This window comes from Homo sapiens, chromosome 3 (genome assembly GCF_000001405.40).
Source record: "Homo sapiens chromosome 3, GRCh38.p14 Primary Assembly".
NCBI lineage: Eukaryota > Metazoa > Chordata > Mammalia > Primates > Hominidae > Homo > Homo sapiens.
The window spans coordinates 33,993,074-34,019,716 of NC_000003.12; the positions used below are offsets into that span (position 1 = coordinate 33,993,074).

At 43.7% G+C, this 26,643-nt stretch overlaps 2 annotated features.

Moving 5' to 3' along the window:
• Positions 18,924-19,218: an enhancer, noted in NCBI's record as "tiled region #5398; HepG2 Activating non-DNase unmatched - State 5:Enh". NCBI's record gives its function as "activates a minimal TATA promoter and a strong SV40 promoter by Sharpr-MPRA in HepG2 cells {active_cell/tissue: HepG2}" and the evidence as "EXISTENCE:reporter gene assay evidence [ECO:0000049][PMID:27701403]".
• Positions 20,744-21,038: a silencer, noted in NCBI's record as "tiled region #2911; HepG2 Repressive DNase matched - State 7:EnhWF". NCBI's record gives its function as "represses a minimal TATA promoter and a strong SV40 promoter by Sharpr-MPRA in HepG2 cells {active_cell/tissue: HepG2}" and the evidence as "EXISTENCE:reporter gene assay evidence [ECO:0000049][PMID:27701403]".

A 26,643-nucleotide genomic window follows, 5' to 3' on the forward strand; every position in this document is an offset into this window, starting at 1 on the left:
CTTGTGTTCTCTTAAGTCTCAGCTTAAATGTAATTTCTTCAGTAAAGTATTTCCATCCACTTTACCTAAAGTCAGTTTCCCTTACGATATTCTCCTACTCAGCTCTTTGTTTTGTTTACTTTTAAACGTTATTTTTTTTTGTTTCATTGCATAAATAAAAATTTGGACTTATCATATAAAACTGTTTATTTCTAGGTTGTGTCTGGCTGCACAGGTAGAAATGATCTCACATTTGCTAAGTTGCTGTCAGGTGACAAGGTTGTTCCCATTACAGCCTTGGGTGCCTCATAAGGGGCTGGGGATTTGTGTCTTAGAAGAGTTTGGTAAGTCTTGTTAACTCAGGGGAAAAAATAGCAGGAAACACATGAGAGACCATACTGATTCTTAGAATTCCAGAATAATTATTTTTGAACTTGCCCAACTGAAGCCATTAGAGATTTATTTAATAATGTTAGATTCCTTCAATGATTCAGTCTTTTGTCTCAGATTTACTGGGGATGTTACTGAACTGAGTGTCTGTGACTCCTCATTCTGGTTTTTAATAACAAGGAATCAATAACTTGTTCCCATTCTTTGAAATCTGCAGCTAAAGTGTATCTGAAGGGCCACCAGAGAGGAGAAAACAGAGACCTAACCCTTGATATTGTCAATCTTTTAAATTGTATCCATTCTGGTGGGTATAAAGTAATAGCTCATTGTGGCTTTAATTTACACTTCCCTGATGACTAATGAACTTGAGTACTTGGGAATTATCTGGAAACTAGTGAGGTCAATGGTTGGGCAGCTGAGTTGATCTCCAGATAGTTACATGATGACAGACTCAATGTATTTGGACCTAGGGTGTCCACTTCCTCTCCTGGCACCTTAACATTACAGCATGCATGCTTCGTCTCCAACAGGTTTTTGGAAGATGTAGCTCTAGGGGCATCTTTGCTTGGGGTGTCATGAGAAGCAAAATCAAAAGCAAGCAGACAGGATTCCTATACTCCCTTCCTTTTTATAAAAAATTTTTTGATACTTTTCACAGAGAAGAAAAGGAAAATGTTCCTCTTGGTAGTGCCAAGCTAGGAGAAGGCAATAGGAAGGAAGTGTGGCATGTTATGTACTGAGCTCTTAGTGTGTGCTGTGCACTGTGCTTTGTTTCAATTAATCTTCACAATGATTGCATGAGGTAGTTACTATTACTGCCCCCATATTGCAGATGAGGAAACGGAGGCTCAACAGGCATATTTTTCTAGAAGAGCCTGACCTTATTGTAGAAAAAAACCCCCAGGCTTTAGAGCCAGGCAGCTAAATGTTCAAGCCCCAGCTCTACTGGCTACATGACCTTGGGCAAGTTACTTAGCTTTTTGGAGCTTCAATGTCTGTAAAATTGGGATAACAACACTGCCATTCAGGGCTAGAATCAAGGTTAAGTGAGATCCCCTTGTATGTAAATGTCTGACAACTTCACAAGGGAATATCTTCAAATGGCCAATAAACGTATCAATAACTGCTTAAGTTCATTAGTCATCAGGGAAGTGTAAATTAAAACCACAATGAGATACCACAGCATACCCACCAAAATGGATAAAATTAAAGATTGACAATATCAAGTGTCAGCAAGGAAGTTAAGTAATTACAACTCTTGTGCTGCTGGTTGGAAGTGTAAATTTGAACAAAGCCTTTGGAAACTTGTTTGGCAGGCTCTACTGAAGCTGAAATTATGCATACCCCATGACCCAGTGTATTAGTCCATTCTCACACTGCTATAAGGAACTGCCCAAGACTGGGTAATTTATAAAGGAAAGAGGTTTAATTGACTCACGTGTCCACATGGCTGGGGAAGCCTCAGGAAACTTGCAATCATGGCAGAAGACACCTATACAGGGTTGCAGAAGAGATAATGAGTGCTGAGTGAAGGGGGAAAACCCTTATAAAACCATCAGATCTTGTGAGAACTCACAATCATGAGAACAGTATGAAGGAAACCACCCCCAAGATTCAATTATCTCCATCTGGTCCCACCCTTGACACATGGGGATTATTACAAATTCAAGGTAAGATTTGGGTTGGGACACATAGCCAAACCATATCATTCTGTCCCTGGCCACTCCCAAATCTCATGTCCTCACATTTGAAAACAAAATCATGCCCTTCCAACAGTCCCCTAAAGTCTTAACTCATTCCAGCATTAACCCAAAAGTCCAAGTCCAAAGTCCCATCTGAGACAAGGCAAGTCCCTTCCACCTATGAGCCTGTAAAATCAAAAGCAAGTTAGTTACTTCCAAGATACAATGGAGGTACAGGCATTAGGAAAATACATCCATTCCAAATGGGAGAAATCGGCCAAAACAAAGGGGCTACAGGCCCCATGCAAGTCTGAAATCCAATAGGGCAGTCATTAAACCTTAAAGTTCCAAAATGATCTCTTTTGACTCCCTGTCTCACATCCAGGTCACACTAATGCAAGAGGTGGGTTCCCATGGCCTTGAGCAGTTCCAGCACTGTGGCTTTGCAGGGTACAGCCCCCCTCCCAGCTGCTTTCACAGGCTGGTATTGAGCGATTACAGCTTTTCCAGGTGCACAGTGCAAACTGTCAGTGAACCTACTATTCTGGGGTCTGTAGGATGGTGGCCCTCTTCTCACAGCTCCACTAGGCAGTACCTCAGTGGGGACTCTGTGTGGGGGCTCCAAGCCCACATTTCCCTTCTGCACTGCCCTAGCAGAAGTTCTCCATGAGGGCTCCACCCCTGCAGCAAACTTCTGCCTGAACATCCAAGCATTTCCATACATCCTCTGAAATATAGTTGGAGGTTCCCAAACCTCAATTCTTGCCTTCTGTGCACCCACAGGCTCAACACCACATGTAAACTGCCAAGGTTTGGGGCTCACACCTTCTGAAGCTATGACCAGAGCTGTCCCTTGGCCCCTTTTGGCCACAGCTGGAGCTGAAGCAGCTGGGATGCAGGGCACCATGTCCTGAGGCTGCACAGAACAGGGGGTCCCTGGGCCTGGCCCAGGAAACCACTTTTCCCTCTTTGGTCTCTTGGCCTGTGAGGAGAGGGCTGCCATGAAGTTCTCTGACATGCTCTGGAGACATTTTCCCCATTGTCTTGGTGATTAGCATTCAGTTCCTCATTAGTTATGCAAATTTCTGCAGCAGGCTTGAATTTCTCCCCAGAAAATGGGTTTTTCTTTTCTATTGCATAGTCAGGCTGCAAATTTTCCAAACTTTTATGCTCTGCTTCCTCTTGAACACTTTGTTGCTTAGAAATTTCTTCTGCCAGACACCCTAAATCATCTCTGTCAAGTTCAAAGTTCCACAGATGTCTAGGGAAGGGGCAAAATGCTGCCAGTCTCTTTGCTAAAGCATAACAAGAGTCACCTTTGCTCCAATTCCCAACAAGTTCCTCATCTCCATCCGAGACCACCCCAGGCTGGACTTCATTGTCCATATCACTATCAGCATTTTGGTCAAAGCCATTCACCAAGTCTCTAGGAAGTTCCAAACCTTCCAACATTTTCCTGTCTTCTTCTGAGCCCTTCAAACTGTTCCGACCTCTGCCTGTCACCAAGTTCCAAAGTTGCTTCCATGTTTTCAGATATCCTTATAGCAGCACCCCCCAATCCTGGTACCAATTTACTGTATTAGTCTGGTCTCACGCTGCTGTAAGGAACTTCCCAAGACTGGGTAATTTACAAAGGAAAGAGGTTTAATTGACTCACAGTTCTGCATGGCTGGGAAGGCCTCAGGAAACTTAACAATCATGGCAGAAGGCACCTCTTCACAGGGTGGCAGGAGAGAGAATGAGTGCCAGGTGAAGGGGGAAGCCCCTTATAAAACCATCAGATCCCATGAGAACTCACTCACTATCATGAGAACAGTTTGGGGGAAACCTCTCCCATGATTCAGTTATCTCCACCTGGTCCTGCCCTTGACACATGGGGATTATTACAATTCAAGGTGAGATTTGGCTGGGAACACAGAGCCAAGCCATATCACCCGGCAACTTCATTTCTGAGCATATACCCAAAAGAAGTTAAAGTTCATGTTTACCAGGAGACATAGAAGAATATTCATAGCACTATTCATAATATCAAATAAATGAGAAAAATCTCAAATGATCATCCAAAGAAGACTGATTAAACAAACCTATTGTGATGGAATACTATTACTTTTAACATCAAAAACTGCAATTACTTTTGTACCAACCTAATATATGATGGAATACTATTCAGCAACAAACTACTGATATATGCATGGATGAGTTTCACAGATATGATGAGTAAAAGAGCTAGACAAGGCTGGGCACGCACGGTGGCTTACACCTGTAATCCCAGCACTTTGGGAGGCTGAGGTGGGCAGATCGTGAGGTCAGGAGATCAAGACCATCCTGGCTAACACGGTGAAACCCCATCTCTACTGAAAATACAAAAAATTAGCTGGGTGTGGTGGTGGGTGCCTGTAGTCCCAGCTGCTTGGGAGGCTGAGGCAGGAGAATGGCGTGAACCCGGGAGGCGGAGCTTGCAGTGAGCTGAGATTGTGCCACTGCACTCCAGCCCGGGCGACAGAGTGAGACTCCGTCAAAAAAAAAAAAAAAAAAAAAAAGCTGGACAAAAAAGTTCATTCCATTTATGTGAAATTCCATTTATATGATTCTGCTTATATTTCATTGATGTGAAACTCAAGAATAGGCAAAATGAATCTTTGATGATAGAAATCAGAGCAGTGGTAACTCTAGGAAAAGCATATAAACTGAGAAAAGACACAAGGAAACTTGTTGAGGTGTTGAAATGTTCTTTGTCTTGATCTGAGTCAGCTACATGGGTGTAGACATGTAAAAATCATTGAATGGCACATATAAAATCTGTGGACATTATTGTATGTAAGTTGTATGGCATGCACAAAATGTTAAGAGATAATGTATCTGGTATATAGTAAGTGCTCAATAAACATTAGAAAGTTTCCTTGCCTTCTTGTCTCCTGGAGAAAAGTACAAAATGTGGCTTACCTGAGTTCCATCCACAAACATATATGATTTTCCACTGAGGGGACATGTTCAGGAGGGAGACAGGGCCTCATGCAGAAAGCTGGAATACTACACAGACTGTGTGAAGTGCTCCCACAGGGGAACAGGCAGGCAGCATGTGAATGGACATGGGTAGAAAAAGATTCACTGCTACTGTGTGGCTGTAGGAAGAGTTGTGGAGGAGGTGTGACATTCCAGACAGGAGATGGTGAGGCAGGAGAGCAAGATGTGGAAGGGAGAGAGTTCAGGCCACTTTTATGGAGAGTTGCTCTGTTTAACCAGGGTGTGCAAGGAAGTGTGGTGGGGTAGGAGAGCTGGGAGCATGGGAGTGGGGCAAATCATGAAAAGACTTGAGTGCCAGGATGAGCAGTGTGGACTTGATTCCCTTGGTGATGGGGAGCTTTGACGTTTCTGAGTCACATTGTCAGGCCTGTGTTTTCATGATTACCCTGGTGAATGAATGTTGCATGCATTGTTGTAAGTAGAAACTGCAAGAGGGGAGACTGAGTCTCACCCAGAGAGAGTGGTTCAGAGCAGAGGGTTAGGGTGGTTGCCATAGGCCGGGAGGGTATAGGACTCATATGTTTTGGGGCTACTCTTATCCACACCCTGCCAGGAAAGCCCAGCTTATTCTATAGCCAATAGCCCAGAACCTAGAGCAAGAGTTTGTTTTGCATCAGGAATGCTGGCTTAAGTGTGATTTCCCAGAGACAGGGATACTTGTCCATTTATTTCAGCCAGGGTGGAGGTGGCGGTGGGGAGGAGGAATCTTGTAGAAGAAGAGGAGTGAGGGAAGCAGGGTGGGGCATTGGGAGGAGCTAAGAATGGGTGGGGTCCCAGCTAAATCTTTATCACCCTCATCCCATGGGGAGCTGTGAATTACACTCTAGAAGGGATCTCATTTTGAGGCAAGAGGGCCGCATTTTTTTTTTTTTTTAGACGGTGTTTTCCTGTTGTTGGCCTGGGCTGGAGTGCAATGGCATGATCTTGGCTCACTGCAACCTCTGCCTCCCAGATTCCAGCAATTCTTCTGCCTCAGCCTCCCCAGTAGCTGAGATTACACGTGTCCACCACCACACCTGGCTAATTTTTGTATTTTTAGTAGAGGTGGGGTTTCTCCATGTTGGCCAGGCTGGTCTTGAACTCCTGACCTCAGGTGATCTGCCCATCTTGGCCTCCCAAAGTGCTGGGATTACAGGCGTAAGCCACCGTGTCCGGCCAGGGGGCAGTATTTTTTTTTATCCCTCTGTCAGTCACCAGTTGCAATTGTCCCTGGTTGGGGAGGTAAGGATTGTAACCACCTGGACAAGGCAGGTCCTTTGGTTCAGAGCAGTTCTCTGGAGAAGGTGCAGCAGTGAGCCATTAGCAGGCAATATACACTGTGGCAGGGGCATAGATACACTAGCATGGAAAGAATAAAAAGATAAAAAATCATGATAGGGCACCACACATCCATAATAGCTCCTGTCCCTGAAGGGGATGTCCCTCAAAACTGATTTTACCTTTCCTTCTGGTGTGAGGGCTTTTCTGGGCCATTCAGCTTGAGCTGGCCACCCCCATCCTTTACCTCCTGTCAGTCCTTTGGCCATCCCATTATCACCCCATTGTCATTGACTCTTTACCTGCCTGTCTCCTCCACGAGGCAGAGCTCCTTGAGGGCAGAGCCTGGCCCTGCCCACCTCATTATCCCTCTCAGCCCCAGAGTCTGGCACCATCCTTGGCACAGAGGAGACAAATGCGACATTCCTGAGTGTCACGGGTCCCCTGCCTTGGTAATCCTGGTCTCTATGCCCTCCCCCCACATCCTCAAGTCAAGGTTGCTGACTAAATCCTGACCTGGGGAGATTTGATGAGCCACCTGTGAAAACCAGGTAACAATCAGCTGAATTGAGAGTCTTCAGCCTTGTTTTTTCATTATATATGCTTTAAAAAAGTTTATTTTAAATGAATTGTATGACGAATTTCTTCTCCCTTCTCCAGAATGGCACAGTGGAAGACAATTTTGCTGTTCCCCTCTTGGAGAGAGGAAAAAACCCAGGAGATCTTAAAGTCGAGTAATTATTTCCATCAGCAGGAAATCAGAACTCTGTGTTTGAACTAAACAGGTACTGGGAAAGGCTGACTGTTTAATTTCCTTTAAATGCCATTTTGATGTATTCAGTGCTGACAGAATCACTTTGGGTGTTGGGGAACGAAAGAGAGGTTAATGAGGAGAAAGGAAAGATGTGACAGAGACACAGAAAGCTGGTGAAAAGGTGATATGTAAGAGAGAGATTTTGGTGTTATCTGGCAACTGCTTGGGAATCCAGGCACACACACAGCCTGACACCCTTCCCTACCTATTAGGCTTCTGAGTTATGGAGAAGCTGGCAAGGCCTAGGATAATTCAGCCTCTCAGAGACACACTGTGATTACTTCCTGGAATGAGTAGTAGGTGGTTAGTCACAACCTCCTCAGGTGGACATCTCTCTCTGTCTCTAAGGAAAGCCACTTTGGGAGCTGCAAAAACTTTAGGCTCTGCAGCTGCAAGGTGCTGGATGAGTGAGTGTGCCCATCAAACAGTCAAATGAGGGTCTGGGGAATCTGAGAGACCATGTGTCATTCATCTTATGTAACTGATACTTCAGGGTAAGTTGAGAAGGAGAAAAATGAGTCTTCAAGGAACTTCTGGTCGCCCCTTGTGTTCTTTTTCTTCTTTTGTCAATGCCTATAGGTGTCTTCTGTTACTACTCAATTTCTTAATCTTAAACCTTGTTTTTATAATAGCATTTAATTTAAAAATGAAATTCAAATGTGTTAAGCATCTCCATGTGCAAGTCCCTTGGCTAATCGCTGGGATTCAGAGACCACAGTTTTATAGGGCACACAGACATGTTAATAGACATGGTATTAAGGAGGAAGATGCTCTTTGCTGTGTTGGGGCCAAGGTAAAGTCTGGAGAGTCTGGTTAGTTTAAAGCTTTCTGGGCAGAGAGACCAGCTTGCACAAAGCCCTGGAGGTCTAAACTCCATCCTGGATTCAGGGCTGTCCAAGGAGTTGGATATGTTGGAGAATGAGGTCAGAGTGTGTGGAGGTGAGGGGTGTAGCTAAAGAGCTTAGCAGAGACCTTGTCATAAAAGGCCTTTCAAAGAACCTCTGAATGAAGGAGCAAAGGTCAGAAGAGGCTTAATGAATGGCATTTGTCAATTGTAATAGCTGGGAGTCGAGATGACAAAGAATTGAAGCCGGCTGACAGTGGGATTTCAGCAATCAAGGCACTGGTTGAGTGAGTTTTCTCTCGGGCAAGGAAGTTTCCCTAGCTCCCCTTATGTCACTCACACAGGCAATTCTGCCTGTTGGTAGAACTTTTTTTTTCCTGCCAGGTACAGCTGATAATACCTGAGTTCAAGCAGAGAAGAAAGGGGATGACCAAAAGCCAAATAACTTGGGAAAGAATGGCCCATTTTTTCCCTAGAACACTGTGAGTAGTGAGGCCTTCTGCTCACATTTGACTGACAGGGCCTTCCAGAAATTACAAAAATGTTATCAAATTTACAAAAAATTGGTAGCTTGGTCGTTAGCTACACAAATAATGTAGTCTTAAATGCCTATTATGTGTTAGGTTTTGCACATATTGTTTCTTCTGTCACCTGGAAGCTTTTCTCATTCTCCCTTTATTTTATTCCATTCTCAGCAGTTCTCATCTTTCCCCCTCAATTCCCAGTTCCATTACTGAGAATTAGGGAAGACTGTCCTATATCATTACACCGGCTGGGATATTTGTGGTGGTGGTGGCTATTGATGACATGATGATGTTGATGTGATGATTATGATGATTAGGAAGAAATTATAATCCTGGGATGAAGTCAATCATGAGGGAAGTAGGTTGCAGCAATCACAACAAGCACCTGGTATCTTGATTCCAGCCTAGTTCTGTGTTCACTGTTATTAGTAAATTATATGGTGGGTATGAAGGAGCTGGATCAAATTTCTACCAACTCCATTCTCCATCTTGGAAATTTCTTATCCAAACAAATCTCTGATGCTTTGTTTGATTTTAGTGGATAAAACATAGATAAAGAATGATTTTGTAATACCTGTGCCTATTACAGTCCCTGAGTCATGGTTGATATACCACATATGTTTGTTTAATAAATAGAAGAAAGGCAGAATGAACCAAAAGATTGGGTTCTGATATCTTCCCTTGGGTTTAGATTCTAGTCCTTGGGAGCTTTCTGTATCCTGAATCACTTCAGGCTGCTTCTGAACTAGCTCTGGAATATACCAAATTGGATTAGTCGCCATATATTTATTGACCACTGATATGGTTTGGTTCTGTGTCCCCACCCAAATCTGACCTCGAACTGTAATCCCCATGTGTCAAAGGTGGGAACAGGTGTAGGTAATTGGATCATGGGGGTTGGTTTCCCCCATGCTGTTCTTGTGATAGTAAGTTCTCACAAGATCTGATGGGTTTATAAGCATCTGGCATTTCCTCAGCTTGCACTCCTTCTGTCCTGCCACCCTGTGAAGAAGGTGCCTGCTTTTCCTTTGCCTTCCACCATGATTGTAAGTTTCCTGAGGCCTCCCCAGCTATGCGGAACTGTGAGTCAATTAAACCTCTTTCTTTTATGAATTACTCAGTCTCGGGTATTTCTTCAAAGCAGTGTGAGAATAGACTAATACAAGCACCTACTATGTGCTCAGGACAAGAGGACTGAGAAATACCAAAGTGCCTCAGGCCATGGACTCTTGTGATTCCACTGGGACAGAGCTTCTTTGTGTTCTATTTATTGACAGAACTAACTCCCTGCTTCACTTGTTTTGGCACAAGCCTTATTCATTCCTAAATCTCTAGTGCATCAAGAATCCTATGGCTCAATAAAGCTTTGATGAGTGGATGACTGGTACTCACAAAATCATTTGTAAATACAGGTTCGGGACAAGCCATTTGTGGGTCTAACATTAATGACTGTATCTTCCAGGATTTGAGGGTGTGTGAGTTGACTTAGGCTGAGCAAAACAGATCTTGCTTCTTCCCTGAATTGTTTTGAGACCTTAGACAATCCGTGGCTGAAATAAGCCTCTTTTCAGCATCTGTAAATGAGAGATTTGGATCATCACTTCCCTAATATCCTTTCCAGCTTAAATATACTAATATTTTAAGTCTATTAATAGGAATTTCTGGAACTCTGGGTTCAAAGATGTAAAAAAATGTGAGCCCTCAGGGTCGTGACAGGATGCAAAAGACCTGAAAAGAGTACCTGGTGCTTAGAACTTCCTTCTACCTTGCTTAGTGCTTATTTTTGTTCCTTGTAAAATAGACAGGAAAACCCACTGTCTACTCTGGGGTGCTATGGCAATTAATTAGTTAATGTTTGTGAGGTACAAAAGGAACAAAAAGTGCTGCATGTAAAGAAGTCATATAAATGCTAAGTGTTGTTGTTTTTCATCTGATTCTTCTCCATTCTATTTCAGTTTCATATCAGAGTAGTCATAACAGCATCAGTTGGGGCTCCTCTGGCTAATTATGCTGCCAATAAAAGGGAAAAAAATTTCCCTTTTAAATTTCCATTTTAATTTCTCTCTGCCTATGACTCCTCCTCCCTTTTCTCTAGTGTGTTGTTCATAGTTGTTAACTACTCAGGGGTCAGTAAAAGTAAGCACTTCTATTATTCTCCACACTCATCGCAGTCTGTGAGACACCAACACTCTCCTCCGAGGCAGCAGATGGCACTTTAGTGCTTATTGGGCAAAAACTGTGGAGGATACACAAATGTCTCAAGTGGATCTCTACCCTCCAGGGGCTCCTATTTGTGGGAAAGGTAGAGGCCAGCCCCGTCTCCTGTCACAGGGAGAATGTGACAAGCTTGGTGGGGGTAAGGCAGTGGGGTTCTTGATGGGCCACACAGTAAATCCTGGAATAATTGATACCTACACAATAATGCCATGTAACAAAACAACCTCAGACTCAGTGGCTTAAAACAATTTGCATTTATTTAGTCTAAGAGGCTGCAGGTTGGTGATTTAGACCTGGCTCAGCTGGGTGGCTTCTTTGATCTCAGCTGGTTGTGATCTCATGTTTGGGGGTCAGCTGGCTATTGGCAGAGGTAGGCTGACCTTGGAAGGGATGGCTGGAGAGACTGAACTCTGCCCCACCATTCCATCATCCAGTTGGTTAGTATGGGTGTGTCCTTCCTAGGATATTGCAGAAGTGTGAGAATGAGAGGGACATCTGCAAGGCATCCCGAGGCCTAGGCTGAGAAGTGGCACATCCTTACTTTTGCTTATTCAAATGGCCAAAGAAAGTCATATGATTGAGCTCACATTTGGGAAGGGGCAGGGGGCAGAATGCACATGGCAAAGGGTGGGATACAGGAAGGGGTGAGGAATTGGGGCTATTAATGCAATCAACCTGACACAACATGGGATTACTGACAGCCTTGCCCCAGTGCTCTTCACCCTGCCAGCTGTCCACTTCCTCATCTCCAGAAGAACCGAGGGGAGCCTCTTCAACTGTCAATGAAGTGGCATGTGCTGTGACTCGATGCTGACCAGGACCTCCAAGAAGGCCTTGTGGAGCTTGATCAGAAACCCTGGCAGGCTGGGTGTGACATCAGGAGAGGGAGGTAGGAGAACAGCAAGAGAAAAAGCTTACTGGCAGGGGAGCTAAAGGGGTGTTGGAGGGTAGTGTGGTGTGGCTGGAGGAGGGTATATGGGAGAGAAGTCTGGATACTCAATAGAGATGAGTGGATTATGGCAAACCAAACCCAGATTGTATTATGTGTTCACTGGCTGGGATGTGGGGAAGTCAGTGGTTAGCTAATGTGTGGACCTCTTTTTGGGGAGTCTGATTATAGAATCAGTGTAGAGGCTGGGAATATAAGTATTACGTACTAAAATATGGCTTCCACTTCCAAAGTTGAGCCTCATGACCATGAGGATCTTTCTTATAAAACAGCTGTGTTGAGTCAGCATGCATTGTGGAGTATAATCACAAAACAATTAAATGTTTTTTGGTTCTCACTGTTTTGCTAAATATATTTGGTAGAAGCAGTCCTTCCTCTAGCCTTGGTTGACAGTTCAAGTGGGCTTAATGACTTCTTCAGTTACTCTGGGTAGTACAAGGTCCTCTGGGGTTAGTAATTCAATGTCCACTTCCTATGGAGGAGTCAAAACTTTGAACTCGGTTTAGTGTGATACATCCCCCATTTTGCATTTTCTGTTCTGCCAGCTAAGCGCTGCTGAGGAGAAGGAAGGAAAAGGAATGTGGATGGTTTCTTCTTGTCTCCTGTGACTTCAGTGCCTACCCTTCCTACCCCCAACTTGTTAATCACAGTTTCTGCTGGTCTAGGGTTTAAAGAATGGAGAAGAGGTGAGGAGCACAGTAGCATTTTTACTTGATGGGCACTGGTGCAGCCTGGCTAGCATTCTTTCTGACTCCTTCTCTTGGGTTCTGCAGACATCCTGTGTTAGGTTGGGTGCAAAGTGGTGGGGAAATGTGGATGGGGAAGGATGGGAAGCCAAGTAAGGGTGTGGTTTCAGGCAAAATCCCATGGAGATTGAGTGGATTACGAAGGGCACTCTGGAGTGTAAATCACACCTCAGCGTTTGTCCTGATTTAAGGCAAAGAAGCTGGGCTTTCACGTGCCTCCACCTATCCCATGAGGCACTGGCTAGGCGTAATAATGGGAGTGGAATATGCAGGGATCCAAATTCCCAGGGGCTTTCAGCAATTTCCTCCTGAAGGGAAAGCAACTTCAACTCGAACGCAACCCTCCAAAGAGAGTTGCAGATGCAGGCTGTTAGAAGCAAAAGCACATAGAGGCTGGGAAATAAACGGGCAAAAATGGTAAAAGGAATCCAAGGAATATGGTGATGTGCTGACAGTACCCTGGCATTTCTGGGAATGTAAGCCCTGCTACCCAACCTCCTCTCCTCTAGCTTGGCTGTCAGCTGTTAGTCTTGGGATTATTCAAGGAGGAGTCAGAAGTCCACTGTGACCCCAAACAGGGGAGGACATACCTCAGTAAGTCATAGCACAGCTCTCTCTAAAGGAATTCTCAAAAATTCCATTCCAACTAGTGAACTACCAGCCCTTGTAAGTGGATTTGACAGTCTTGTCATTTTTGAGGAGGAGCCATTTTCTTTTTAAATGACAGAGGTGTTCTGCCACCTCCTTTGGAAGGTACCTGAGGGTAAACTTCTGTTTTTCATACCCTGTTACGCTTATTTCGTGTGACCTTCTGTAGGAAGGATGTTTGGTTGAATCCATAAACACGCATGGAGCTCTGTGTTCTGGGCCCCAGGGAAGCTGGAAGTATCAAAGCTGGTGCCTCTATAGCTTTTGGTCTAGTAGGGAAAGGGAACACTGAACACTTTGCCTTCCTCTCAATTAACCAGCTTAGACAAGACGATCTGGCAGGAAATGATTTGAACCCGTGGCAGAGCCCAAGACCTTTACATTTCTTTCTTTTTTGAACACGGAAAGTGGGCACACCTCAGAAATTTTCTCAGTAACTGAAAGAGAAGTAGGATCATCAGGTTTTGAAATGAGTGTTATTTTTCTCTCTCGGAGGTCAAGAAATTAAAAGAAAGCCTTGGTGTCTTTACAGAGCAAGCACAGGGGAGTCCAAATGTTAGAAAGGAAATTGGAGGCTCTGTCCAGAGCCTCTGCCAGACTCATGTAAGCTGAGGACTACAGAAGGAGTAAGCAAGTTTCCTCCACCAGTGCTGGAGTTTAAAAGTGGGGTAGGTGGAGGCTTGCAGGGGCTTTGACAGGCGCACAGTCTATTGTCCAGGAGAACCTGAGGGTTTGTATCCTCTATAGCATGGTGACCCTTAGCAACCATCACTATGTTGCTCTTGGTTCTCTGTTTCTGTCTGTAGCTGACTGAGCCCCTGCTTTAGGGTTTTGTGTTATGCCTCAGAATTGCAGGGGGTAGGTGGTATAGGTCACTTTAGAGCCTCAACATCCTGATTTCAGTTTAGGCTCTGCCACTTCCAAGTTCTGTATTTCTGGATATGTCTGTCAGCCTCTCTAAGCCTTAGTTTCCTTGTCTGTAAAATGGGGGAAATGATGCCTACCTTTCGGGATTGTGGTCAAGATGAAATGAGCTATCATGCGGGTAAAACCCCCAGGACATGGTAGAGGCTCTGTAATTGTCCTTTTTTACTCCCTTGCCTTGCTGTTGGAATGTTGTGGGGTTTGGAAAGGAAGGTGAGAATGACTTTCTTCCTCTCCAGAGCAGCTACAACCTGTGATCTGGGGGCAGGGAGACTCAGCTGTGAAAAAGCCAGCCTCATTTTGGTAGTTGGCAATGGTCCTAGGATGCCTGAATTCTGTGGCAGGGGAGACCTGCAGGGCTCATGCTGCAATGCCCCAGGTTGAACAAATGGGGTAAAGGAGACCAAGAGAGCTGAAATGACTTGCCCAGGACCACAAAGCCAGTGAGTGGCAGAGCTGGGGTCAACGCTTTGTTCTGTGTCCCTGCATTGGCCTGCCACCATGTCTTAGGAGAGCAGAGCACGTGCTTGTAAAGTAACTCCTGGCTCCAGGGTGCACAGTTGGACCTCAGTCTTTACCCCATAAATTCTTCTGTTACATGGGGAGCAGTGGTCAATTTCCAAACCAGGTAGATCGGCATGTTTCTCACTCCAGGAAGGTTTCCTGACCTCCTAACATCAAGGCAGGTGGCCCTGCTGGTTTCTCCTGGGATTCCTGTGCCCAATTTGTATGTTTATTTTTGTACTCCCTGCCCTAGACTATGAAGACATGATCTAGACTTTCTTGTTCCTCGTTGTGTGTCTAGGGCCTTCTGTATGCTCTAGGACTGAGTAGACCTCAATAACTGTGTGTATGGGTGAATGACTAGGCCAGTTGGGTCCATTCTGCTGTTGCTTCCCCTCAGACATTTTAGGCCCCAGTTTGAGTGTGAGTCTACCAGCAACTGCCTTCATCAGGAATGACTTCCTAGCCTCCTCGGGAAGCACCAGCCTGGGCATTGATGACAGGAACTCTAATGGTTTTTGGCCTAAGCTAGTAAAGACACATAGCATTGCTCACCTGGCTTCTTTCTACCTCTGAAACTTGGAGAATGACTTGAGTAGATGTAAAATGTACTCACCAAGACAGATGTTCAATATCTAGAATTGCAAGCCTACCAGAAGCTCTCCAAGTGCTGGGTAGTGTCCCTCACTGGGCTGCTTCACATGGGCCTATCCACCCTGATCACTTAGCACCCTGCCAGTGAATACCCACTGTCTGTTGGCTTGGTGGCTTTACCTCTGTGTAGGAAGGGGGATGAGCTAGCTGCTCAGAGCTCAGTCAGCATCAGCTTTCTCAGACCTGGGGGAGGGTCTCAGGGGAATGGTGACTCACTTAGAACAGGCTTCATTGCACAGAATGCCCTGTCCTGTGTTAAGCACAGCAGGAAGCTTTAACTAGATCATTGCATCTTCCCCCAGGAGGCAGCTAGCAAAGGTGGGAGGTGCGTAACATGGATGGGCTGCAGTGATTCTATAGAAATGGCAAGGAGAGACAGCTCTGAGATGGATTATGAGGGGAAAAATCCTCAGGGTTCACTGGACTTGTTGGGGGTTGGAGTAAGCATTGAGGAGGGCAGAGGAGAGAGAGGAATAAGATGAAACTCTGGGGAGGAACAGAGAGGCAGAGATGTAGTGATTAAAGTCTAATTGTTTCATGGCTTTTTCTTAAAACCACATTTTATTTGAAACTCACAAACTTCTGCTTCAAATTGTTTCATTGGTTATATTTGTCCTTGCTGCAAAATTTTGCAAATGAGACTAAATTCTCTGTAATGATATTTCTTTGTTGCTGTGATCATGCTTTTACTCAGCATAACAAATAGGCAGCTTGTTCAGAGTGAGGGTGGCTGCTGGGCTTCTAAAAACCTGGGAAATTCAAGAAGGAGAGTACATGACTTCAGCAAAACCTTATCACTGCACAGGTGGGGGCAACACTTGCTTCTTAGTCCAAGATCCTTTTTCTTTCCCTCCCTCCCTCCCTCCCTCCCTCCCTCCCTCCCTCCCTCCCTCCCTCCCTCCCTCCCTCCCTTCCTTCCTTCCTTCTTCTTTCCTTCATTATTCCCTCCCTCTTTCTCTCTCTCCCTTCCTCCTTTCCTTATTCATTCATCAGACATTTATTGAGCATCTACTATGCACCAGCTGGGATACAGCAATACATAAGACAAATATAGTTCATATCCATCTAGCATAGATATGGTAGGAGCTGAGTCATTGCATTCATTTATTTGTTCAATAAACATTCATAGAATACCTAATATTTGCTTATCTCTGTTCTAGGTATAAGGAATGCAGGGATGAACAAGAGAGAACAACAAATTCCCTTTGCTTTTGTGCAGGTTATAATCTGGGTGGGATGAGATGTTAAGCAAGGAGGTTCATAAAATAAAAATATAATGACACAGTTTGAAGTTTGCATATTGGTCCAATCCACATGGGTATCTTTCCTTCATTGGCTCAAGTTTCATGAATATGTTCATCCTGGAGCTATGGAAATGCACTCAAGAGGGGGTGGCTTCCTGGAAGGGAACATAAAATCTCAAGTTAATGTCTTACTCCCGTTCTGGTCATTCTTCCTTATCACAAAGAAGACTCAAGGGATTAGTGAGGCCCTTCAAAACTGTGTTGTGGGAAAACCAAAACCAGCGGTGCAAATAGTGAATTGCAGCCTCAGTTGGGACTCTTATTCTCATTGATTGAAGTGGTTTTATTATATTCCCAGTGGCTCCAGTCCTAACCTAGAAACCTAAGCCCTATACCTGCTGGGACAGGGTTCTGACATTTTATGGCAGAGGTAAGGTAGAAAGAGCCATATACATGATTGGTTTTACAATAATATTTCTGTAGCAAAATGATTTAAATACAAGAGGCGAACACCCAGCTCTCTTCCCAAACACCCTGTAGTAAGAAATAGAAGGCCTCTAAGACCTCATTCTCATGTCTACCCCTCACAGTGTTATCACACCAGACAGAGCAAGCATAGAAGCCCCAAAGACACTGACTACTTTCTGTCTACAGGTTTTTAGACAAACCACTTCTTCTCTCTTCCCCTATAAATAATGCTGATGTCACAGGGTTTTATGAGCATTTAATGACACATGCCTCATAAAAAGTATTTTATAATCAGTAAAGCACTGAATTTATTGCTGTTATTGGGTTATAGCAGTAATGTGGTCCTTGGTTCTCACTTTTGCAAATACAGAACCCTTAGGGGATTTGTGGCAGATTAGTTTTTCCAAAAATGGCCACAATAGCATCCTCCATCTCACGTGTGCATCATCCTTTTTTCTTTTTTTTTGAGACAGAGTCTTGCTCTGTCGCCCAGGCTGGAGTGCAGTGGCGTGATCTTGGCTCACTGCAAGCTCCCTCCCGGGTTCATGCCATTCTCCTGCCTCAGCCTCCTGAGTAGCTGGGACCACAGGTGCCCGCCACCATGCCCGGCTAATTTTTTGTATTTTTAGTAGAGATGGGGTTTCACCATGTTAGCCAGGATGGTCTTGATCTCCTGACCTTGTGATCCGCCTGCCTCGGCCTCCCAAAGTGCTGGGATTACAGGCGTGAGCCACCGTGCCCGGCCTTCACGTGTGCATCTTCAATATGACCTTGCCATGCCTTTCTCAAGAGATAATTTTCTTCATCTCCTTGACGCTGAGTTGACTCCAGACTGCTTTGACCAATAGCACAGTGACCCTGTGCCAGTTCTGGGGTGTAGCCCTTAGCCAGCCTGGTAATTTCTGCTTCCTGCCTCTTGGAGCCAGCTGCCATATAAGAAAGAAGTATGACTATCCTGAGACCACCAGATGATATGCCATGTGGAGGGAAAGAAAGGCCAAGGAGCAAAAAGGTATACTAAACATGAGTGAAGAAGCCATCTTGGAAGTGGATTTTCCAGCCCTGGCTTCCCAGATTCCCAGTTGAAATCTGGAAATCCCAACCCACTGAATTGTGGAAAAATAAAATAAATGTTGTGTGAACACACTAAGTTTTGAGGCTACTTGGTTACCCAGCAATAGAAAACGAAATAGTTACTTTTTTCCTCTTCTGGGTTTTGTATATCTTTTTCCCAAGGACTTGCTAATTGTATTGAATTGCGAAAAGCCACAGACTTTTCCAGCCCAGGAGGTCTGGTGTTCAAACCTTGACTCAGTCATCTTTTAGCTGTGTGTTCACATAACACTTTGAACTTCATTCAGCTTTTAAATCTATTATAGGGCCTTATAAGGCCTCCTAAAGATGCGGGGAGGCCACAATGAGCCAGTCCATTGAAAGTGCTTTGTAGCATTGTTTGGTCCTAAGTATGCTGTCAGGCATATGTTGTCAATCAAAAGAACCCACTGAAGCTCTGTGAGACACCTGCTGGTCAGTTCCACATCCCTGGTGAGGCTAGTTCCCTTTGGCATTTGTGTTTGATACATTCTGGGTCTACTTTTGAGATGGGACAGGGCAAAGCCTGCGTGGGACTGCATAGTGTGGAGGCTTCAGCTACAGCTCAGGAGTGCTGAGTACTTAGTGCATGTGCCAGGCCTGTCTGTAATTTCTAGACTACTTCTTTAATAGCAAACTCTTAATACTTCTATTTCACAGATGAGAAAACTGAGACTCAGAGAAGCTGATGTGGCTATACTAGTAATGACAGAACCAGGACAAGAAGTCAGATTCCTAGTCACCAAGTCCAGTAAGATTTGGGGCAATCACTTAGAATTTTTGACTTCAGCATAAGGTAAAGAAGATAAGAAAGTATCCAAGAGGCATACAATTTTAATCTGAAAGCATTGCAATATGATGACTCCTTAAACAACATAAGAAATTTGGAGTTCCTTTAAAGCTGCAAACACCAGAAGTTTACTCCTTCCAACTCATCATTCTTGGCAAAGTAGGCATAAATGGCACCTTATTCCTTCCATTTCCAGTTGGAGGTTCTTCTGTTTTGAGCATGTGTATTCCTCTTTTCTGGAAGTTTTTCTTGACAGAAGCAGAGAGGTTTTTGACAAACAACTTTAATATTCTTTGTGTCTGTGTGGCTGGCTCTAATAATCCTGCAAGCTTACAGGGTCACTGTTAAGATTAAATCTGAGTCATCGGAGGCAGATGTTGACACATCATTATTTAAATCCTGAGCTGCTGAAGGACTCTCATCCCCATGAGCTATGATTCACTGTCCAAACAAACACCCCAAATTCCACATAGCTTGCTGAGCAGGGACTCTGGACTCCATTAGGGGAAAAAGTTTGCCTTGCTTTGTGTGGTGAGAAAGCACTACTTTCTGTTGCAGAGGAAGCGTGGCCTACAGGGAGAAAGAGTGTTTCAGAAGACCTAGGCTCCTGTCTCATCTCTTGCTCTGGGCTTTCTTTTATTACCTGCTCTTCATAAACTTTCCCGTAATTTACACTTGCATGTTTACTTATATGTTATTGTTTTTTATTTTTTATTGAAGTATAATTTTTAAAGTAAAATGTGTTAAGTGTCCAGCTTGATGAAATTTTACAAATGTATACTCTAAGTCAGCACCATGCATATGACAACATGGAACATTTTCACCACCCCAGAAGATTCCCTTGTGCACCTTCCCGATCAATAACCCTTCAAGGTAACTGCTGTTCTGACTTGTGATGCCATGGATCAGTTTCCTCAGTTCTAGAATTTCATGTAGAAGTCAAATGGCACATACTCTTTTGTATCTGGCTCTTTTGCTCAGAAAAATACCTGTGACATTTATATGTGGTGTTGTGGATATCAGTGATTTGTTCCTTTTTATTGCTGAGTATTATCCCATTGTATGACTAGACCAAAATTTGTTTATTCATTCTCCTGTCAATGGATACCTGGTTTGTTTTCAAACTTTGGCTATTATGAATAAAGCTGCTGTACCTATTCTTGTATACATATTTTGTAGACATATGTTTTCATTTCTTTTGAGTAAATACCTAGAAATAGGATTGCTAAGTCATAGAATAGGCTGGTGTATGTTCGACTTTATCAGAAACCATCAAATAGTTCTTTCTAACACTTAATGTTTTCAGTCTTTTAAAATCTTAGCCCTTCTTGAGGGTGTCTACTAGTATCTCAATTTAACTTTCATTTTTCTGATGAATATTGATGCTGAGCACTTGTACTTATGCTTATTGACCATTTATATATCTTTTATTTCTGTGAAGTATCTGTGTAAATATTTTGCCCATTAAAATAGATTTTAATGGTAGAATGCATTAATAAAAATACTAGTCAAGGAATGGATTGCAGAACGAAGACAGAAAACTTGCAAGAGAGAGCCCTCAAGGGCAGCAGTAAAAACAATGGATACAGTTGTCCCCTTCTATCCTGTTTCCAACCCGTAATTGAGTGGAAGGCTTGAAGGATGCCATCGCTTGGCTTATTTAGAACAAAGAGATGCAAGTGGTAGGGATTGCAAACACACACACACACACACACACACACACACACACACACACACAGCATTGTGGAAGGAAGATGAGCTTAAAGGTCAGAAAATCTGTGTTCCAATCCTAGGAGCTCAGGAAATATTAAGAAAAGATGTCATTATCACACACTACTAACACCACTGGTGCAGAAATAAAATAGCGTTTATTGGGGGAAAATTCTTAAGTAGCAGAGTACAAGCAATTCTCTGAACTCTCATATTCCTATAGTTTGGGCCAGGTCTAGGGATGTGCAGCCCTGTGACCAAATTTCCAGAAAAGAGGAGATCCACCTCCATCAGGCTCCTTGTATTTATAGGTTTGGGGCAGGAAGAATATCTATGCAGCTACACAGCAATGGAGGCTTCTTGGTATCCTCAGGAAGAAGGAGCCTTGGAGCCCAGCAATTGGGTTGTTATCCACCTACACTTTTGTTGAGATAACTCAGACCTGTTGACCTTGCTGTTTGCTAAGTCACTAAAAATGGGAGACAAAACAAACTTTCAGAACTGTCTGGATTTGTCATTCAACAGGAGAGTTTTAATCCATGTAATCTCTCTGAGTCTCTGTTTTACCACGGATAAGATGGGGATAATACTATCTAGCATCTTGAAGAACTATTTGAGGATTAGAAGTAATCATGTAAAACACCAAGCACATTGCCTATGATCAAGTAAGAGCCTAACAAATACCAGTTTTCTTTATTTCAAGGAGAGAAAATTAAAATACTTGTTATCAATGTGAAAATTTTACACATATGGGAAATTTGGCTGGTTAGCTGACGCCAGCTCTATGCATGGCAGAGGCGTTTGCTCTCACTTGACATCACACTTCTCTATCTAAAACCTGGAAGGAGGCTTTTATGATAATGGCCTCTGGGGATTATAATGAGCGTGTGGCAAGGGCACATTTTCCTTATTTGCTGTGCCGCATTCATGTATTTGAGACTTTCGAGGTATAGTTGCTGGATGTTGGGGGAAGTAGCAATTGGATTGAAGCTGTATATTCCAGCACCCAAACAGTGGACTTTTGGATGGCCTAATTTGTGGAGGTGTACATTATGAAATGCCAGATTTTCATAATGGAAACATAAGAATATTAGAAAAAAATCAAGCTTTCCATGTATAATTCTCTTAATAAAATCTCTTGATTGTTTATTAAGGGATGTGGGTTGCTATGGTGACATAAAGGAGCAGAATTTGAAGAGGATTGAAATAGACATTCTAATAGGGACAGGCGTAGATTATATACACTTAGAGAAAACATAGATTTTTAGAAACAGGCTTGAGATATTGTGTAGAGTGTTCTGTGGTATCAAGAAAACTTCCTGAGTTTCTGTGTCAGACCATCCTATTTTTTATAGGTTGCCCATTTAATCCCTTATTACAATTTATTTCTCGGCTATAGTTGAGTTTGTTTATGTGTTCATTCATTCATTCATCAACAAATGGATTTTAATAGCACATATCTGCCCATTCTGAGGGGCATTCAAATATGTAAACATTTGGTCTCTTAGAGTGATTTCAGGAGAGCAGCAGCACATCCCTGTCACTGGCTGACTTTCCTCACTGAATTAGTCTGCCTTCAATCACTGTATTCAGTGACTTCAATACTGGGGAAATTTAATATAAAGAATTATTAAGCTATGATAAGATAGTGTATCCAAAGATGGAAAAAGAACACCAAAACATACCCAGGGAAAGACAAGTGTGAAGGTTAGTATTCAGATCTCATAGAAGAAGATCTTCAATTGCAGGGTCCTGGATAATGACGTTTGCTTGGTTGCAGTGGCCAGAGCTAGTCTACATAACTGGGCAAACAGCAACAACCTTAGGCGGCACAGGTAAGCTGAGGTTGGGAGGTGTGCAGCAGGGCTTCGTGGGGATGCCACTACAGGAACAAGGCCCAGACTATGCAGTGACTGACTGGAGGGCTGCAGCAAAGTGGTTACTGAGCCTGGGCCAAGGCTGCAAGATTTCTGGAGAAGCCTGCTTTGGGTGCGCAGCTGGGGCAGAGCACCCCCGGACAATGTCCCCATCCACATGTTCTGCTGACAGAACATGCAGCTGAAGCTAGAAAAAGCAAAACAGCAAGCGGAATCAAAAAGAGAAGCCCCTTCCTTCTGCAATGTCCTGCCATCGCCCTCTACTGACAAACCTTGACATTGTGCTTACCATAAAGGAGAAATGCTGCGAGTCCAGTTCATTATGGCAGAGCAGGCATTGAAGGGTGAGTTTGGAGCTTCAAAGCAATACATCAATAAGTGGCCAACTGTCTTGGTTGTGGTTTATCTTGTGAAATTATTGTAACATATTTGAATTCCATTCCCGTCCCCAAAGAGGCTTCATTGACTGGGAAGCTAGGAGGTGGTTCAAGGGGGTTCTAAGAGCAAACTCTTTAGACAGGATGACACCCTGTGGCTCTGCCCAGGAGGAAGGCCTGGAATGCAAGCCTAGGTTGGTAGCAGTCATTTGAACTCAGTGTTTTCCTGCTGAAAGGTAGTTTATATTCATTTGGTTTACAGACTTGGAATCCCAAGGACATGGGTTTGAGTCTCAGCTTGTCCACTCACCAGCTGTGAGTTCAGATACCAGTGTGTGCCTAAGGGTACTCCAGGATCCAGCTCCAAAGTTACAGACTTCCTGGTCATATCATAGCTTTAGCCAGCCATTCCCTAAATCAGGAGTCAACACATTTTTCCTGGAAAGGGCCAGATAGTAAATATTTTAGGCTTTGCAGTCCATATGGTCTCTGTCGTGACTACCCAACCCCCCTCTTTGTAGCACAAAGGCATCCATCGACAATGAGCAAACGAATGAGTTTGGCTCTGTGTGGGGAGGTCCAGTATTGGACCTAACGGCTGGGACCAGTGTGTACCTAGGGACACCCTGGCTCTTGAGCTAGACTGGCTTCTCCCTTTTCAGAGGAAATTTTGTCTCAGGTTTCATTGACCTGCCCTGTTGTGGGCCTTGGTTGGAGTCCCTGAAGACATCCTAATAAACTGCCTTATCTTTAAATCTGGAGGAGCCAGGGTTGGGGATCTTGGCTGCTTCCTCCCTAGAATGTTCCAGGCTTCTTATTAGGTTGGTGCAACAGTTATTGCGGTTTTGCCATTGAAAGCAATGGCAAACACCGCAATTATTTGTGCATTAATCTAATATTTAAACTTGGTCTTTAGGGTACAGCTCTACAAACCCAGTAAAGTGGTAGCTTTTGCTAAGTTGCTAAAAAGCAAGGTGTTATTAGCCCCCGCAAAGGGGGCTGTGGGACAAAGAAGATCCACTTCCCTGTTTAAGCAGTAGCATGACCATACAGCCTCAACCATACCTGGCCTTATGGCTGCCATAGCTACCAAAGGTAAAAAGTTGTCACTGTAGGCAAAGGATCATCTGTTGTTGTCATCTGTGCATTTTCTTGGCCCAGAGAGGACGCCATACGTACTCCAGGAAATAAAAGGAAATTTACATTTTAAGGTATTTCACATTTTAAGGAAAGACAGGAGCCAATAAAATGAAACATTAAACGAATCACCTAGTGGGCAGAGAGGGGGTGAAGCTTCCCAGGCAGACATGTGCCAGCATGCCTCAGTTCTGGGCTGGTTTGTGAGCTTGGTAGCTGGTCACTCACCTCACCAGCTCATATGACAAGGTAGCCAAAGCATCCTTGCCTTTTCCTGTGCCTTTTTTTTTTGGTTCTATTTAAATTCTGGGGCAGAAGGGTTGATGCCAAGATATTTATGCCCTTTTGATAACTGCTGCTTAAGCTGCTTCTTGACAGACAAATTCTAATTAAACACGTATAATAAGTTGCAGAAACACAACAGCTCTCAGCGCTTTTCCTGTGGCATGTCACATCTGAAAAAGCCACATCCTGTGACTTGCAGATACATTTTTAGGAACTGCCTCTGTAAAGTTGCTTTGGCTGTTTCTCCAGAGATGTTGGTTAGGTTAACACCTCCTCCTTTTTTTTTTTTTTTTTTTTTTTTTGGGAAAAGCTATTTTTAGGCAGCAAATTAATTGTAGGGCAGTTCAGGTCAAAGAGATTTGTATTTTTATACGGTAAATTTTGTCCTTGTCTTAGGAATGTTACAACAGCCAATTAAGTGGCTGAGTTGGGATTTGAACCCTGGTCTTTCTGGCACCATACACTACAGGAAATAAAGGAAAATGGAAAGCAACAAAAACAACAACGTAATCTGGTGCTTCGTTTTGGATATAAGATGTAACTTGGATTTGAGGAATGGAGGGTAATTACAGTGGTCATATCCAGTAAACTATCAGAAATGTGGGCCTGGAACTTGGGTGGCAAGTGTAGAGCAGAGATTTCATTGTGAAAGTCTTCAGTTTTGGGCTTCATTCATTCATCCAATACCCTTTGTTTAACCTAATTAAATGACATTTTTACAGGTTGTAGTGGAAGAAGCATTAAAGTGGAATCCCTCACTCCCTCCTTCCCCTTCCTCCCTTCCTCTCTTCCTCCCTTCCTCCTTTCCTCCCTTCCCTTCCCTTCCCTTCCTTTCCCTTCCCTTCCCTTCCCTTCCCTTCCCTTCCCTTCCCTTCCCTTCCCTTCCCTTCCCTTCCCTTCCCTTCCCTTCCTTCCTTTCCTTCCTTCCATTTTCTTACCCAGGCTGGAGTGCAGTGGCATGAATGATCACAGCTGATTTCATCCTTGAACTCCTGGGCTCAAGCAATCCTCCTGCCTTAGACTCCCAAGTAGCTGGGACTACAGGTACACACCACCATGCCTGGCTAAGCTAAGCTTTCTATACTGAGTTTTGCCTTTACACTTGCTGTGTGCCTTTGGGCAAGTCATTTAACGTGTCTGACTCTGGAAAGACTGTGAATTTGGAGGGAGTGGTAGGCATTTAGGCTAACCTGTGCTTGTTCACATGGTGGGCATGGGTTTCCAAGAGAGCATGTGGAAGCAGCTCAGATCTCTTGAGGCTCAGTCTCAATGCCTCTTCTGTCATATTCCATTGATCAAAGCAAGTCACAAGGACAACCGAATGGGAGGAGCTGCAAAATAACATTGTGAAGGAAGGAGAGAGGAGAATTACTGCAAGCCATCTACACTGAGCTAATTTTCATCCTGGGATCCTCAAGGAAAACAAGTGGTTAATATAATGTGGTGTTTTGGGCATGTGATGTTCTGTGTGTGACATTAGCTAGGAGGATGGGCAGGCCAAGAAAGTAGAGAAAACCGTGGACAAGGAATCAAAACTTACCAGTTGCTTGGCCTTAGACAAAACACTTGGACTGTTAGAAGCTCAATTTTTTTGTCCTAAGGTTCCAAAAACCTTTATTAACCCTGTTCTATTCTAGGCACTAGAGCCATAGATAGAAAAAAATGAATGATTCTTGTGAGTTTTTCTGTGTGTCTATCAGTGATTTTGGGAGTGACAGTTGTTAATTCCAGCCAGTTTTGGCAATAAAGGGTTATCTTGTTTAAAAGACACTGGTACCTTGCTTGCTGTTCAGGTCAGCTTTGAGCCTGGCTTACTGGACCACTGTTTTGTTGAGGGAGCTCTGAGTAATGGCAGACCAACATTTCTGTCTTACACTCTGAGGCAGGCATTTCCCCATGGGAAATCTTCTCTTGTTACCTTAACTTTTGAATTGCTCGACCCCTTTGGGGGTTGGTAAAGTCTTCAAGTGCATCTATATTCTGCTCACTTGTCCTGGTTGATTTTCAACTTTGTTTTCCAGCTGTGAAAAACATATGTACGTATGGCAGTAATTGGGAATTTAATAATTTTTGATGTTTCTTGTGGTGTTTGGGAAATCCACTGAGAAGGATATATATTTTTTCAGTGTTTCCCCTTTCTGTGCTAAAACTCTGCTAAAACTATTCATGAATTTTATTTTCTCCCTCTCCCCTCCCCTCCTCTCCCCTCCCCTCCTTTTCTTTCCTTTCCTTTCCTTCCTAGCACAAGGCAGGCTAACTTTGAAGTTAGGTTTCCTTTTTGGAGGGTACGTGTATTGGTTCCTTATTTTCTCCTTTTGTTTTCATTTTTATAGTGTTCTTTATTAGTTTTTCCAAGTCATTTTAGAAATAAAAAAAGAAACGTAGAACCACCACCGTAACAACAAAACACCACAGTCAGAGATTCAAACGATCTGAGAATTTTCCTCTTCTCTTTTCTCTTCTCCCTTGGGAACCTATGCACCTCCACAGATTCATGTACTATTCAT